The 15,094-nt window shown below is 44.0% G+C and overlaps 1 protein-coding gene across 2 annotated transcripts in view, besides 1 other annotated feature; it reads right to left on the bottom strand.

Moving 5' to 3' along the window:
* NPIPB5 (nuclear pore complex interacting protein family member B5) overlaps nucleotides 1–7,134 on the bottom strand; it is a 32,937-nt gene extending 25,803 nt beyond the window's left edge. The window contains exon 1 of one of the 2 annotated variants that reach the window (NM_001395851.1): nucleotides 4,498–7,134. The gene's annotated coding sequence lies outside the window, so the exon portion shown is untranslated. Of the gene's footprint in view, nucleotides 1–3,333; nucleotides 3,719–4,497 lie in introns of those variants that run through there. The other variant, NM_001135865.3, reaches the window with a different exon arrangement.
* Nucleotides 10,312–11,169: an enhancer, noted in NCBI's record as "H3K27ac hESC enhancer chr16:22510885-22511742 (GRCh37/hg19 assembly coordinates)". NCBI's record gives its function as "activates a minimal SCP1, AML or CMV promoter by ChIP-STARR-seq in primed H9 embryonic stem cells {active_cell/tissue: H9 hESC(primed)}" and the evidence as "EXISTENCE:reporter gene assay evidence [ECO:0000049][PMID:30033119]".

Here is a 15,094-nt window from a genome sequence, read left to right as displayed (position 1 = left end):
TTATCATAACTATTGTTTCCATCATCCACAGTTACTGTTTTGAATTCTTCTCTAAAAATATTTGTAATTGGCAATAGTCCAAATTTTCTTTTGTTTTCTTTCCTGTTTTTGAGACACAGTCTGGCTCTGTCGCCTAAGCTGGAGTGCAGTGGTGGGATCTCGGCTCACTGCAAACTCTGCCTCCCGGGTTCACGCCATTCTCCTGCCTCAGCCACCCAAGTAGCTGGGACTACAAGTGCTGCCACCACATCCAGCTAATTTTTTGTATTTTTAGTAGAGACAGGGTTTCACTGTGTTAGCCAGGATGGTCTCAATCTCCTGATCTCGTGATCTCCGCGCCTCGGCCTCCCAAAGTGCTGGGATTACAGGTGTGAGCCACCGTGCCCAGCCTAATTTTTGCATTTTTAGTAGAGAGGAGGTTTCACCATGTTGGCCAGGGTGGTCTCGATCTCCTGACCTTGTAATCCGCCTGCCTCAGCCTCCCAAAGTGCTGGGATTACAGGCGTGAGCCACTGCAACTGACTTTTTTTCTTTTTCTTTTTTTTTTTTTTTTGAGACAGAGACTCACTCTGTCACCCAGGCTGGAGTGCAGTGGCATGATTTTGGCTCACTGCAACCTCCACCTCCTGAGTTCAAACAATTATCCTGCCTCATCCTTCGGAGTACCTGGGATTACAGGTGCGTGCCACCGTGCCCGGCTCATTTTTGTATTCTTAGTAGAGACGGCATTTCACCATGTTGGCCAGGCTGGTCTCAAACTCCTGGCCTCAACTGATCCACTCTCATTGGCCTTCCAAGGTGCTGGGATTATAGGCGTGAGCCACCACAACTGGCTCAGTAAATACATTTTTTATTATCAAAAAAGAGTAGTGTATGGTTGGCGTATTCTGTGTAGAATGTATTTTATTGATGTCTGCTATTTTTATAATTTCTGAGTTAAGTACTTTTTAATTAATGCTTTTTAGTTTTGGGCAGATTCAGTTGACTAAAGCACCTCATTTCCCAGATACATGAAATAAAATATTTGGCTTCTTTTCCAATTTCACACTGATGTTATTTTGTGAAAATCAGTGCTTTAAGATAAATCGTTATACGTTAAGATAAACATGAGAAACTTGATCTAATATTTAATATTTATTCAGTTCTACACTTTATTAACTTCTACACCAGCAGATTTAGACATTATGTAACCATCTCAAGAAGTTTCACTTGGATGTAATGCTTCACGCTTGTAATCCCAGCACTTTAGGAGGCTGAGGTGGGAGGACTGCTTAAGGCAAGGAGTCTGAGACCAGCCTGGGCAATACAGCAAGATCCCATCTCTATTTTAAAGAAAAGTTTCACTTTGGGAGGCCAAGGCGGGTGGATCACAAGGTCAGGAGATCGAGACCATCCTGGCTAACATAGTAAAACCCCATCTCTACTAAAAATATAAAAAATTAGCCGGGCGTGGCGGTGGGCGCCTGTAGTCCCAGCTACTCGGGAGGCTGAGGCAGAAGAATGGCGTGAACCCGGGAGGCAGAGCTTGCAGTGAGCTGAGATTGCGCCACTGCACTCCAGCCTGGGCGACAGAGCGACACTCCATCTCAAAAAAAAAAAAAAAAAAAGTTTCGGCAAATTCCATCTAAGAATTCCACCAGAGTTCTGTTGTCTCCAATGTCATCTTCCACAGATTTCAAGTTGTGAAGCCCTGAACTGTTAATTTATCTTGAGAATGTATATTTAAGCTTAATTTAAGACTATATACCTAAAAATTGAGCATATAATTTCTATAATTTGTTTATGTAAGTTTCTGTAAGTCATAAGTATGTGGTTTCCAAGTGTATAATTTATCTGAATGTAATAGGCATTAATATATTTTTACATTACTGGGACCATAGTACAGAAATTTCTAAATGGTTTGTAAAATAACTTGTTATTTGTGTTGTTGTAAAAGCAGTTAATACAATGGAAAAACTCGTAATAAGAAGATACAGTTTAACATCAAAAAGTTTACCCAAGGTAATTATGAGTACTACCTGGCAAAACTTCACGGAAGCTGTGGTATCACTTTTATGATGGAAGAATGGTGTTTGCATTTTGTGTAAAAGTACTTGCGGCTGGGCGTGGTGGCTCATGTCCCAGTGCTTTGGGAGGCGAAGGCAGGTGGATCATCTGAGCCCAGGAGTTTGAGACCAGCCTAGGCAACGTGGCAAGAGCCTGTCTCTCCAAAACCTACAAAATTTAGCCAAGCTTGGTGGTGTGAGCCTGTAGTCCCAGCTACTTGGGAGACTCACGCTGGAGGATCTCTCGAGCCCAGGAGGCAGAAGATGAATAAATAAATGGAAGCAACTGAATGGGATGAGGTCTCTCTTGAAGGAGAGAGCAAAAGAGATTTAAATAGTAACAATTATAATAAGGCTGGGCGCTGTGGCTCACGCTTGTAATCCCAGAACTTTGGGAGGCCAAGGCAGGCGGATCGGTTGAGGTCAGGAGTTCAAGACCAGCATGGCCAACACGGTGAAACCCTGTCTCTATTAAAAATACAAAATTAGCCGGACATGGTAGTGCGTGCCTGTGGTCTCGGCTACTCAGGTGGCTGAGACAGGAGAATCGCTTGAACCTGGTAGGCACAGGTTGTAGTGAGCCGATAAATATAAAAAGTATTAGAGTACTAACAGAGGAAAGTTTCCACTGATCACCTTTTAGCTTTAAATAATGCAGAAGCATTTGCCCAGTTTACTTGTAATTAAAAATCATGCATCATTCACAATTTATATCTTTTTTGTTTGTACAAAAATGAACACAAGTTATTCTCTTTTATCTGTATTGTGATTGGTTTGGTGAGAGGGAATTAGGCCACTTGAGAGTTTGTGTGTGTTTACAATTTTCTGGCCAGGCACGGTGGCTCATGCCTGTAATCCCAGCACTTTGGGAGGCCAAGGCGGGCGGATCACTTGAGCTCAGGAGTTCGAGACCAAATTGGGCAACATGGTGAAACCCTATCTCTACGAAAAATACAAAAATTAGCTGAGTGCCGTGGCTTGCGCCTGTCCTCCCAGCTACTTGGGGGGCTGAGGCAGTAGGATCGCTCAAGCCCAGGAGGTGGAGGTTGCAGTGAGCCAAGATCACGTCACTGCACTCCAGGAAGGGCAACAGAGCAAGACTCCTTCTAAAAAAAAAAAAAAAGAAAGAAAGAAAAGAAAATTAACTTTGGTATTTCAGGTTGTATTTAAATGGAGACTTAACATGAACTATGTTCATAACACTTGACCAAATTAAGTGTAGATCGTCTCTTTAATAAAGAGATCATCTGGAACTGCAATTTCTAACTCATACATCATTGCTACAAACCTTATTTGTTTACTGTTTCTCTTCCAAGGACCATCAGTCATCCTTTAAAATTCATTTCAAGCTCTGAAAAGATATTTTTTGTTACATGGGCAATTTACTTTTAGTACAGTAAAATGTTATGTGAATTTCTACAGTATGTTTGCCAAAATGAATTATATCTAGAATACGCTTAACAATATATTCTGGAGGCAGCTTTCATTTGAAATTAGGTTCACCTTCTGAGAGTATGAAAAAGTTAATGGGTTTTTGTGCCTGAAGATTTTGATGTTGCATTTGGCTACATTTAATCCACTTTCACCCATAAGTTTTAGCATCTAAAAAAATTAAATCACTGCTAATGCAATTAAAATGCATTATGAAATGCATTTCTGTCCAGGCTGGAGTGCAGTGGCACAATCTCGGCTCACTGCAAGCTCCGCCTCCCTGGTTCACACCATTCTCCTGCCTCAGCCTCCCTAGTAGCTGGGACTACATGTGCCCGCCACCACGCCCGGCTAATTTTTTTTTTTTTTTTTTTTTTTAATGAGGCGGAGTCTCGCTCTGTTGACCAGGCTGGAGTGCAATGGCATGATCCTGGCTCACTGCAACCTCTGCTTCCTGGGTTCAAGTGATTCGCCTGCCTTGCTGGGATGACAGACGTGCACCACAATGTCCGGCTAATTTTGTATTTTTAGTAGAGACATGGCTTCACCATACTGGCCAGGCTGGTCTTGAACTTCTGACCTCAGGTGATCCCACCTTGGCCTCCCAAAGTGCTGGGATTATAGGCATGAGCCACTGTGCCCAGCTTAAGATCTCTGTTTTAATGTTAATGCTGGTCAGTTGTGTCTGGATTCCAGAGGGAGGAAGGTAGAATGAGGCATGTTGACACCTCCCCTTCCCATCATGGCCTAAGCTGGTCTTTTCAGTTTACTTTGGAATGTCCTTGCTCAACAGGAAGGGTCCATTCAGTCGGACTGGGTGGCTTAGAATTTTATTTTTGGTTTACATCTCAACTATCACAGCAGCCGGGCGCGGTGGCTTCACAGCTGTAATCCCAGCACATTGGGAGGCTGAGGCAGGGGTATCACCTGAGGTCTGGAGTTCTAGACCAGCCTGACCAACATGGAGAAACCCCCCGTCTCTACTAAAAATACAAAATTACCCGGGCGTGGTGGTACATGCCTGTAATCCCAGCTACTCGGGAGGCTGAGGCAGGAGAATCGCTTGAACCTGGGAGGCGGAGGTTGTGGTGAGCTGAGATCGTGCCACTGCACTCCAGCCTGGGCAACAAGAGCGAAACTCTGTCTTAAATAAATAAATAAATAAACAAACAAACAAACAAACAAACTATCACAGCATAAAGTAGGAATATTTCGTTACTGTCTAGTTAAACTGGTTAATGCAGAAAGGAAGTCTGGTAATTCCAGTTTTAAAGTAAAATTTTGGACATTGTAGGATTGATTATTTGGCATAGTTGTGATGTTTGTTCCTGCGTTATGGTTTTGTTGGCAGGGCAGCCTTTAAGGACCTGTATATTTTCTTCTAGACTCTATATATTCCCTGTGAGTATTAGTTGTATGGTCAAACTGGCAAATTTTACCATAGGTATAAATAATAGAGAATGTGGAAGAATAGTGAATAGTGTCAGAGATAGTTAAAAGTCCATACAATAGTAGAGAAGGTAGTAAGTAATAGTGGCTTGGACTAAATATTTGTTGAATAAATGTTTTAAAAAACAGGCTACCTACAATTTGTGTTGAAGATATGAATGAATGAAGTTTCCACACCTTTATGTGGAGACCTGATAAGTAAGCAACAATAAGGAAGGGTCCCCAGGTTGGGGAGAGCCCCAAGTTGAGAACAATAATGAACAATTATTGTATGAACAATTGTTAGAGACAGCTAATCACAAACAACCTGCGGGCACAATGACCTCATTCCACACGTAGCACCCTTCAGCAGGACCCTATAAAACTTTCCTCCAGCCCTTGCCTCTTTGCAGGTAGCCCCTTCTCTGCTGAGCTGCCCACTGCAACATATTTTCACAATTTCTCTAATAAATCTGCCCTTCTTTACCTACAACTATCTTGGTAAATGGCTTTACCACCTGCAAAACTGACCCTAGGTTGTTGCTACCCGATATGGTTTGGCTGCGTCCCCACCCAAATTTCATCTTGAATTGTAGTTCCCATAATCCCCATGTGTCGTGGGAGGGACCCGGTAGGAGGTAATCGAATCATGGGGGCAGGTTTTTCCCATACTGTTCTCGTGATAGTGAATACATCTCACTAAATCTGATGGTTTTATAAAGGGCAGTTTCCCTGCACGTGCTCTCTTGCCTGCTGCCATGGAAGACATACCTTTTTGCTCCTTCTTTGCCTTCCACCATGATTCTGAGGCCTCTCCAGCCTTGTGGAACTGTGAGTACATTAAACCTCTTTTTCTTTATAAATTACCCAGTTTCCAGTATTTCTTCATAGCAGTATGAAAAGTAACTAATACACTACCCGAGACATCTTAGGAGATTTGTAATAGCTGTAATGCCAGGTCCACCATATTTTTAGCATAAAGCAAATGTTTACGCGTGATATGACTGCACGGGCTTTCTTTCAGCTGGAGCCATAGCAACTCAAGTAGTAACCCTATCTTAGTCTGATTAAAAGTAAATATTAGTCTGGGCATGGTGGGACATGCCTGTAATCCCAGTACTTTGGGAGGCTGAGACAGAAGGATTGCTTGAGCCCAGGAGTTTGAGACCAGCCTGGGCAACATGGAAAAACACCATCTCTACAAAAAATACAAAAATTAGCTGAGCTGGTGGCACACACCTGTAGTCCCAGCACCTTGGGAGGGTGAGGCAGGAGGATCTCTTGAACCCGGGAGGTGGAAGCCGCAGTGGGCAATGATCATGTCAGAGGTGTGTGAACCAGAGCAACTCCATCTTAAATAGGAGCCGGGAAAAATGAGGCTGAAACTACTGGGCTGCATTCCCTGATGGTTAAGGCATTCTAAGTCACAGGATGACATAGAAGGTCAGCACAAAATACCAGTCATAAAGACCTTGCTGATAAAACAGGTTGCAGTGAAGGAGCTGGCCAAAACCCACCAAAACCAAAATAGAGACAAGACTGACCTCCCATCATCCTCCCTGCTACACTCCTACCAGCACCATGACAGTTTACAAATGCCACGGCAACATCAAGAAGTTACCCTATATGGTCTAAAAAGAGGAGGCATGAAAAATCCACTCCTTGTTTAGCATATCATCAACAAATAACCATAAAAATGGGCAACCAGCAGCCCTCACGGCTGCTCCGTCTATGGGGTAGCCATTCTTTTATTCCTTTACTTTCTCTCTTTTTTTTTTGAGATGGAGTCTCCCTCTGTCACCCAGGCTGGAGTGCAGTGGCGCGATCTCGGCTTACTGCAAGCTTCGCCTCCCGGGTTCATCCCATTCTCCTGCCTCAGCCTCCAGAGTAGGTGGGACTACAGGCACCCGCCACCACACTTGGCTAATTTTTTTGTATTTTTAGTAGAGATGAGGTTTCACCGTGTTAACCAGGATGGTCTTGATCTCCTGACCTCGTGATCCACCTGTCTCGGCCTCCCAAAGTGCTGCGATTACAGGAGTGAGCCACCGTGCCCCTCCTCCTTTACTTTCTTAATAAACTTGCTTTCACTTCACACTGTGGCATCACCCTGAATTCTTTCTTGCACAAGATCCAAGAACCCTCTCTTGGGGTCTAGATTGGGACCCCTTTCCTGTAACTATCATGCTACTGCACTCCAGCCTGGGCAACAGAGCAAGGCCCTGTCTCAAAAAAAAAAAAAAAAAAAAAAAAGGAACATGACTTAATACATTCATTTTGGAGGGTAAGTCTCTCAAAATAGGCCTTTCACTGGGGGAAAATGGTAAAAATACTCCCTGGTAATTCAAGAATTGGAGACTCCTGAGATGCTGCTCATATTAGCTGAGCACTTATCAATACTTCACTTTTTTCCATATATACTCAAGGAACAAGTGCTATTTAAAGTGTTTCACTCCACTGTGCTAGGTGCAAGACTATAAAGAGGTGTGAGGATCAACACTTTTATGAAAACCAGTGTCATTCTGGATATAGTTTCAGATGCTAGTGCAAAGGAAGCTCTTGGTATACGGAAAAAGTATTCAACAATAAATTAGGCATGGTTGCTTCCATTTTCTGCCTCACATACTTTTTTTTTCGTGGTTGAAGTGATATAATGTCTATGATATTTTAGATTGGCAGTTGCAAACTAGTGGTCCTCAGCGTGCTTTTTATGACACCTACAAGGTCTGAAGACTTTGATTTCATATTAAAAATCTGGGTTTCAGGCTGGGTGTGGTGTTGCATGCCTGTAATCCCAGCACTTTGGGAGGCTGAGGCAGGAGAATCGCTTGAACCAGGGAGGTGGAGGTTGCAGTGAGCCAAGATCGCGCCACTGCACTCAAGCTTAGGCAATAGAGCAAGACTCCATCTCAAAAAATGAATAAATAAATAAATAAAATCTGGGTTTCAGGCCAGGTGTGGTGGTGCACTCCTGCAATCCCAGCACTTTGGGAGGCTGAGATGGGCAGACAGCTTGACCTCAGGAATTCCAGACTAGCCTGGGCAACATGGCGAAACCCCATGTCTACAAATAATACAAAAAAATTAGCTGGGTGTAGTGGAGTGTGCCTGTAATCCCAGCAACGTGGGAGGCTGAAGTGAGAGGATTGCTTGAGCCTGGGAGGTTGATGTTACAGTGAGCTGAGATCGCCCTCCTACACTCCAACCTGGGCAACAGAGCCAGACCTTGTCTTAAAAAAAAAAAAAAAAAAAAAAAAAAAAAAAAATTCTGGGTTTCTGGCATCTCAAAAAAAAAAAAAAAAAAAAAAAAAAAGGAAAGGTCAGGGCACATGGCTGCTACAGTCCTCTATTAAGCAATGTGCCACAGCAGGGGTGCCTGACCCCTGGGCCATGGACATGTACTGGTCTGTGGCCTGTTAGGAACTGGGCCACAGAGCAGGAGGTGAATGGTGGGTAACAATTGAAGCTTCGTCTGTATTTCTGGCTGCTCCCCATTGCTTGCATTGCTGCCTGAGCTCTGCCTCCTGTCAGATCAGCAGCATCATTAGATTCTTACAGGAGCATGAACCCTGTTGTGAATTGCACACACGAGGGATCCAGGTTGCATATTCCTTATGAGAATCTAATTCCTGATGATTTGTGGTGGAACAGTTTCATCCCAAGACCATTACCATCCTGCGCCCCATCCCTTGCCGCCTGTGGAAAAATTGTCTTCCACAAAGCCGGTCCCTGGTGCCAAAAATGTTGGGGACTGCTGTGCTTTAGAATCTGCCATGAATCTGCAGCCTCTATTATATAGCTCCCTATAGACTTTGCTTCCTACCGTCTTACGTTCTGCCTTATAGGCATTTGACTTTGCAACCCTTGTTTTTGTTAGTATGCTACGCTGGTGACATTGACCAAATTGACCACACATTAATTATAAGCTTAGTTGGTGATGACCTCAACGGAATAACGTGACATAAGTATTGTGACAATACTTCTTGCATGTATCTGCAGGTGGAATTGTAAACCTGGTGGTCCGAGATGGTCTAATTCCATCTTCCTATGTATCTCCTTATATTAATAGTGGTAACATTTGTGGTGGTGATTCAGCATTTCAATGCCTCTTCTCATGGCAACAACAAACGTTTTCCTTCTGAATCAACATTAACCTAGATGTTACTGCGGATCAAAATTAGACTCTACATTTTCAACCACAGAAATACCGGGCAGTAAAAATTTTTCTTAATATTGATTGCCTACATAGGTTGTGTAATTAGCATATGTTTACAGTTCTATGATTTCTGCGTGGCTGCTACAGAGCTGGAGGGGGTAAAGCAACAGTATTTTCTCAGTTGTGCGAGCAGCATTACATTATAATAAATAGGTAATATTAAACTGGGCTGATGAGAGTTGCAAAAGACTACTTTAATGTTCATATGGAACCAAAAAAGAGCCCGCATTGCCAAGACAATCCTAAGCCCAATGAACAAAGCTGGAGGCATCATGCTACCTGACTTCAAACTATACTACAAGGCTACAGTAACCAAAACAGCCTGGTACTGGTACCAAAACAGACATATAGACCAATGGAACAGAACAGAGCCCTCAGAAATAATACCACACATCTACAACCATCTGATCTTTGACAAACCTGACAAAAACAAGAAATGCGGAAAGGATTCCCTACTTAATAAATAGTGCTGGGAAAACTGGCTAGCCCTATGTAGAAAGCTGAAACTGGATCCCTTCCTTACACCTTATACAAAAATTAATTCAAGATGGATTAAAGACTTAAATGTTAGACCTAAAGCCGTAAAAACCCTAGAAGAAAACCTAGGCAATACCATTCAGGACATAGGGATGGGCAAGGACTTCATGTCTAAAACACCAAAAGCAATGGCAACAGAAGCCAAAACTGACAAATGGGATCTAATTAAACTAAAGAGCTTCTGCACAGCAAAAGAAACTAGGATCAGTGTGAACAGGCAACCTAGAGAATGGGAGAAAATTTTTGCCATCTACTTATCTGACAAAAGGCTAATATCCAGAATCTACAAAGAACACCAACAAATTTACAAGAAAAAAAACAAACCCCATCAAAAAGTGGGCAAAGCATATGAACAGACACTTCTCAAAAGAAGACATTTATGCAGCCAACAGACACATGAAAAAATGCTCATCATCACTGGCCATCAGAGAAATGCAAATCAAAACCGCAATGAGATATCATCTCACACCAGTTAGAATGGCGATCATTAAAAAGTCAGGAAACAACAGGTGCTGGAGAGGATGTGGAGAAATAGGAACACTTTTACACTGTTGGTGGGACTGTAAACTGGTTCAACCATTGTGGAAGACAGTGTGGCGATTCCTCAGGGATCTAGAACTAGAAATACCATTTGACCCAGCCATCCCATTACTGGATACATACCCAAAGGATTATAAATCATGCTGCTATAAAGACACATGCACACATATGTTTATCGCGGCAATATTCACGATAGTGAAGACTTGGAACCAACACAAATGTCCATCAATGATAGACTGGATTAAGAAAATGTGGCACAGATACACCATGGAGTACTATGCAGCCATAAAAAAGGATGAGTTCATGTCCTTTGTAGAGACATGGATGAAGCTGGAAACGATCACTCTCAGCAAACTATCACAAGGACAAAAAACCAAACACCGCATGTTCTCACTCACAGATGGGAATTGAACAATGAGAACACTTGGACACAGGAAGGGGAACATCACACACTGGGGCCTCTTGTGTGGTGGGGGAGGGGGAAGGGATAGCAGTAGGAGATACACCTAATGTAAATGACGAGTTAATGGGTGCAGTACACCAACATGGCACATGTATACATATGTAACAAACCTGCACATTGTGTACATGTACCCTATAACTTAAAGTATAATTTAAAAAAATAAGTAAATAAATAAATAAAAAAAGAAACAATTGCTGGCTTTGCAATTCTCTTTCCTCCAAAATCGCCAAGGCCTCAATTTACTCATTGCTGAAAAAGGACGACTCTGTATATTTTTAAATGAAGAGTGTTGTTTTTACCTAAATCAATCTGGCCTGGTATATGACAACATAAAAAAACTCAAGGATAGAGTCCAAAAACTTGCCAACCAAGCAAATAATTATGCTGAACCCCCTTGGGCACTCTCTTAATTGGATGTCCTGGGTCCTCCCAATTCTTAGTCCTTTAATACCTGTTTTTCTCCTTCTCTTATTCGGACCGTGTGTCTTCTGTTTAGTTTCTCAATTCATACAAAACCATATTCAGGCCATCACCAATAATTCTATATGACAAATGCTCCTTCTAACAACCCCACAGTATCAGCCCTTACCCCAAAATCTTTCTTCAGTTGAATCTCTCCCACTGTAGGTTCCCATGCCGCCCCTAATCCCACTCGAAGCAGCCCTGAGAAACATCGCCCATTATCTCTCCATATCACCCCCAAAAATTTTCGCCACCCCAACACTTTACCACTATTTTGTTTTATTTTTCTTATTAACATAAGAAGACAGGAATGTCAGGCCTCTGAGTCCAAGCTAAGCCATCATATCCCAGTGACCTGCACGTATACATCCAGATGGCCTGAAGCAACTGAAGATCCACAGAAGTGAAAACAGCCTTAACTGAAGACATTCCACCATTGTCATTTGTTTCTGCCCCACCCTAACTGATCAATGTACTTTGTAATCTGCCCCACTCTTAAGAAGGTTCTTTATCATCTCCCCCACCCTTAAGAAGTTTCTTTGTAATTCTCCTCACCTTTGACAATGTACTTTATGAGATCCACCTCCTGCCCCCAAAACACTGCTCTTAACTCCACCGCCTATCCCCAAATCTATAAGAACCAGTGATAATCACACCACCCTTTGTTGACTCCTTTTTCGGACTCAGCCCGCCTGCACCCAGGTGAAATAAACAGCCATGTTGCTCACACAAAGCATGTTTGGTGGTCTCTTCACACAGACACGTGAGACAGGAGTTCGAGACCAGCCTGGCCAATCTGGTGAAACTCTATGTCTCTACTAAAAATACAAAAATTAGCTGGGCATGGTGGCGGGCACCTGTAATCCCAGCTACTCGGGAAGCTGAGGCACAAAAATTGCTTGAACCCAGGAGGCAGAGTTTGCAGTGAGCCAAGATCACACTGTCAGGCCTCTGAGCCCAAGCCAAGCCATTGCATCCCCTGTGACTTGCACGTATACATCCAGATGGCCTGAAGTAACTGAAGATCCACACAAGAAGTAAAAATAGCCTTAACTGATGACATTCCACCATTGTGATTTGTTTCTGCCCCACCCTAACTCTTCAATGTACTTTGTAATCTCCCCCACCCTTAAGAAGGTACTTTGTAATCTCCCCAACCCTTAAGAAGGTTCTTTGTAATTCTCCCCACCCTTGAGAATGTACTTTGTGAGATCCACCCCTGCCTGCAAAACATGGCTCTTCACCCCCTATCCCAAAACCTGTAAGAACTAATGATAATCCACCACCCTTTGCTGACTCTCTTTTCGGACTCAGCCCGCCTGCACCCAGGTGAAATAAACAGCCATGTTGCTCACACAAAGCCTGTTTGGTGGTCTCTTCACACGGACGCGCATGAAACACACGACTGCACTTCAGGCTGGGCGACAGAGCTAGATTCCATCTCAAAAAAAATAAAATAAAAAGGAGTCACCTCCCCCGAGAGGCCTCTGGACCACCCCATCTGAGCAGGCCACTCTTCCTTCTCTATCTTACCATCTTGTTTCTGTCCCAGTAGTTAGGGCTACCTCCAGTAATCCTATTTGTCCCTTTACTGTTTAGTGCGTCTCGCTTGACTAGAAGCTCCATGAAAGCAAGAGACCCTACCTGCCTCCTTCGCCACTAGACCCCCAGGGCCTGGTATGTGGTGATCGCTCAGGGCCCATTTTCTTCCTTTCCTCCTCCTCCAAGGGTGGGGAAAGAGCATCAGAAGGTCTAGGTGGCCCCAGGCCCAAACAATGCTCCTTTAAAAGGAAACTAGATTGTTACAAAGGTCAGAGGCTGAAAAGTTATTTCCGCCTTTTATCCCTCTAAATTCTTCACTTCCTGAAAAAACAAACAAACAAAAAAGCCACTGAGGGCCCTTGGACTAAATCCAGGCCTGAGTTGCTGGGCAGAGGTCAGTCTTGTCCAGACATGGGAAAAAAATAACTCGAGTCAGACAGGTGGGTCACCACAGAACTAATCCAGCCTGCAAATGGCCTGTGCAATCTTCAGCTCTGTCCAGACCTGCCTCCCTCTGGGGATGCCTTTAAAGGTGATGAATGATCTGGATGAATGGGCTTAGAAGATAAGAGGGAAAAACAAATATCACAGGTCAAATCGTTATTTGTCTTCAAGTTTAACACCGTCTACTGGACTAAAAGATGTCCAAAGAATAGTTGTTCAACTATGTAAATTCCTTTTTTTTTTTTTTTTGAGACAGAGTCTCGCTCTGTTGCCCAGGCTGCAGTGCAATGGTATGATCTTGGCTCACTGCAAGCAACCTCTGATTTTAGTATTATTAGTAGAGACAGGGTTTCACCATGTTGACCAGGCTGGTCTCGAACTCCTGACCTCAGGTGATCCACCTGCCTCGGCATCCCAGAGTGCTGGGATTACAGGCGTGAGCCACCGTGCCCGGCCAACTACATAAATTCCTAACAACGTATCTCCAGAAAGTATAGGCACAACAGCACATGCAGTCATTCCTGTAATTAAGTGCTCCGGGAGGCCAAGGCAAGAAGATCCCTTGAGCCCAGGAGTTTGAGACCAGCCTGGACAACATAGCAAGACTGTGTCTCTACAAAATATACAAAAATTGGGCTGGGGATGGTGGCTCACGCCTGTAGGCCCAGCACTTTGGGAGACCAAGGCAGGAAGATCGATTGAACTCAGGAGCTCGGGACCAGCCTGGACAACATAACGAGACCCAGTCTCTACTAAAACTCAAGAAAATTAGCCAGACGTGGTTGCATGTGCCTGTAGTCCCAGCACTTTGGGAGGCCAAGGTGGGTGGATCACCTGAGGTCAGGAGGTCGAGACCAGCCTGGCCAACATGGTGAAGTCTCATCCCTACTAAAAATACAAAAATTAGCCAGGCACGGTGGCACACACCTGTAGTCCCAGCTACTTGGGAGGCTGAGGCAGGAGAATGGATTGAACCCGGGAGGCAGAGGTTGCAGTGAGCCGAGATGGCACCATTGCACTCCAGCCTGGGCAACAGAACAAGACTCCATCAAAAAAAAAAAAAAGAAAAGAAAGAAGAGAAGAAAATTAGCCAGGTGTGGTTGCATGCACCTGTAGTCCCAGCACTTTGGGAGGCCAAGGCAGGAGGATCAATCAAGGCTAGGAGATTGAGACTGCAGAAGGAAACCCTGTCTCTAAAAACAAGGTCCAGCTAAAATCAGGGTCCAGCTCCACCACAAGCGCAGCTCCAGGGGCTGTTGAGTTTTGCCTCTACCATTCCAAGTAGTCTCTGCTCCAGACCAAGTCCCACCATCTGGCAGTCATGTCAGTCCAACCACAGTCATATCAGGGCACTTCCAGTCATTGAGTGCCCCTTGAGGAGGCTGGAGGAGAGGCCAATGACATTTGCACTTGAGACTCCAGAGTCTAGATTTATAACCACTATGTTACGGCTGCCAGTGTGGCTGCAAGGACACTTCTTTCATTCATTCATTTACAATAGATGTAGCATCTGCTGTGTGCCAGATGCCATTCTAGGTTCTAGGGAAACAAGGCAGAGCCCCTGTTTTCCAAGGCATCCACATTCTAGGAAAGACTGCTACCAGCCTGGCGTGGTGGCTCATGCCTGTAATCCCAGTACTTTGGGAGGCCGAGGTGGGCGGATCACTTGATGTCAGGAGTTCAAGACCAGCCAACATAGTGAAACCCCGTTTCTACTAAAAGTACAAAAATCAGCTGGGCATGGTGGCACGTGCCTGTAGTCCCAGCTACTCAGGAAGCTAAGGCAGGAGAATCGCTTGAACCTGGGAGGCAGAGGTTCTGGTGAGCCGAGATCATGCTACTGCACTCCAGCCTGGGCAACAGAGTGAGACTCCATCAAAAAATAATAATGATAATAAAATAAAGACTGCTACTAAACAATAAAATAACCAAACCAGATAGATGACTTCAGGTGGTGGTAAGAGCTTTGAAAGAATAAGCAAGGTA

Source organism: Homo sapiens, chromosome 16, assembly GCF_000001405.40.
Source record: "Homo sapiens chromosome 16, GRCh38.p14 Primary Assembly".
NCBI lineage: Eukaryota > Metazoa > Chordata > Mammalia > Primates > Hominidae > Homo > Homo sapiens.
Note: the sequence above shows the minus strand (reverse complement) of the source record. Positions and strands in the feature narration are given on the sequence as shown.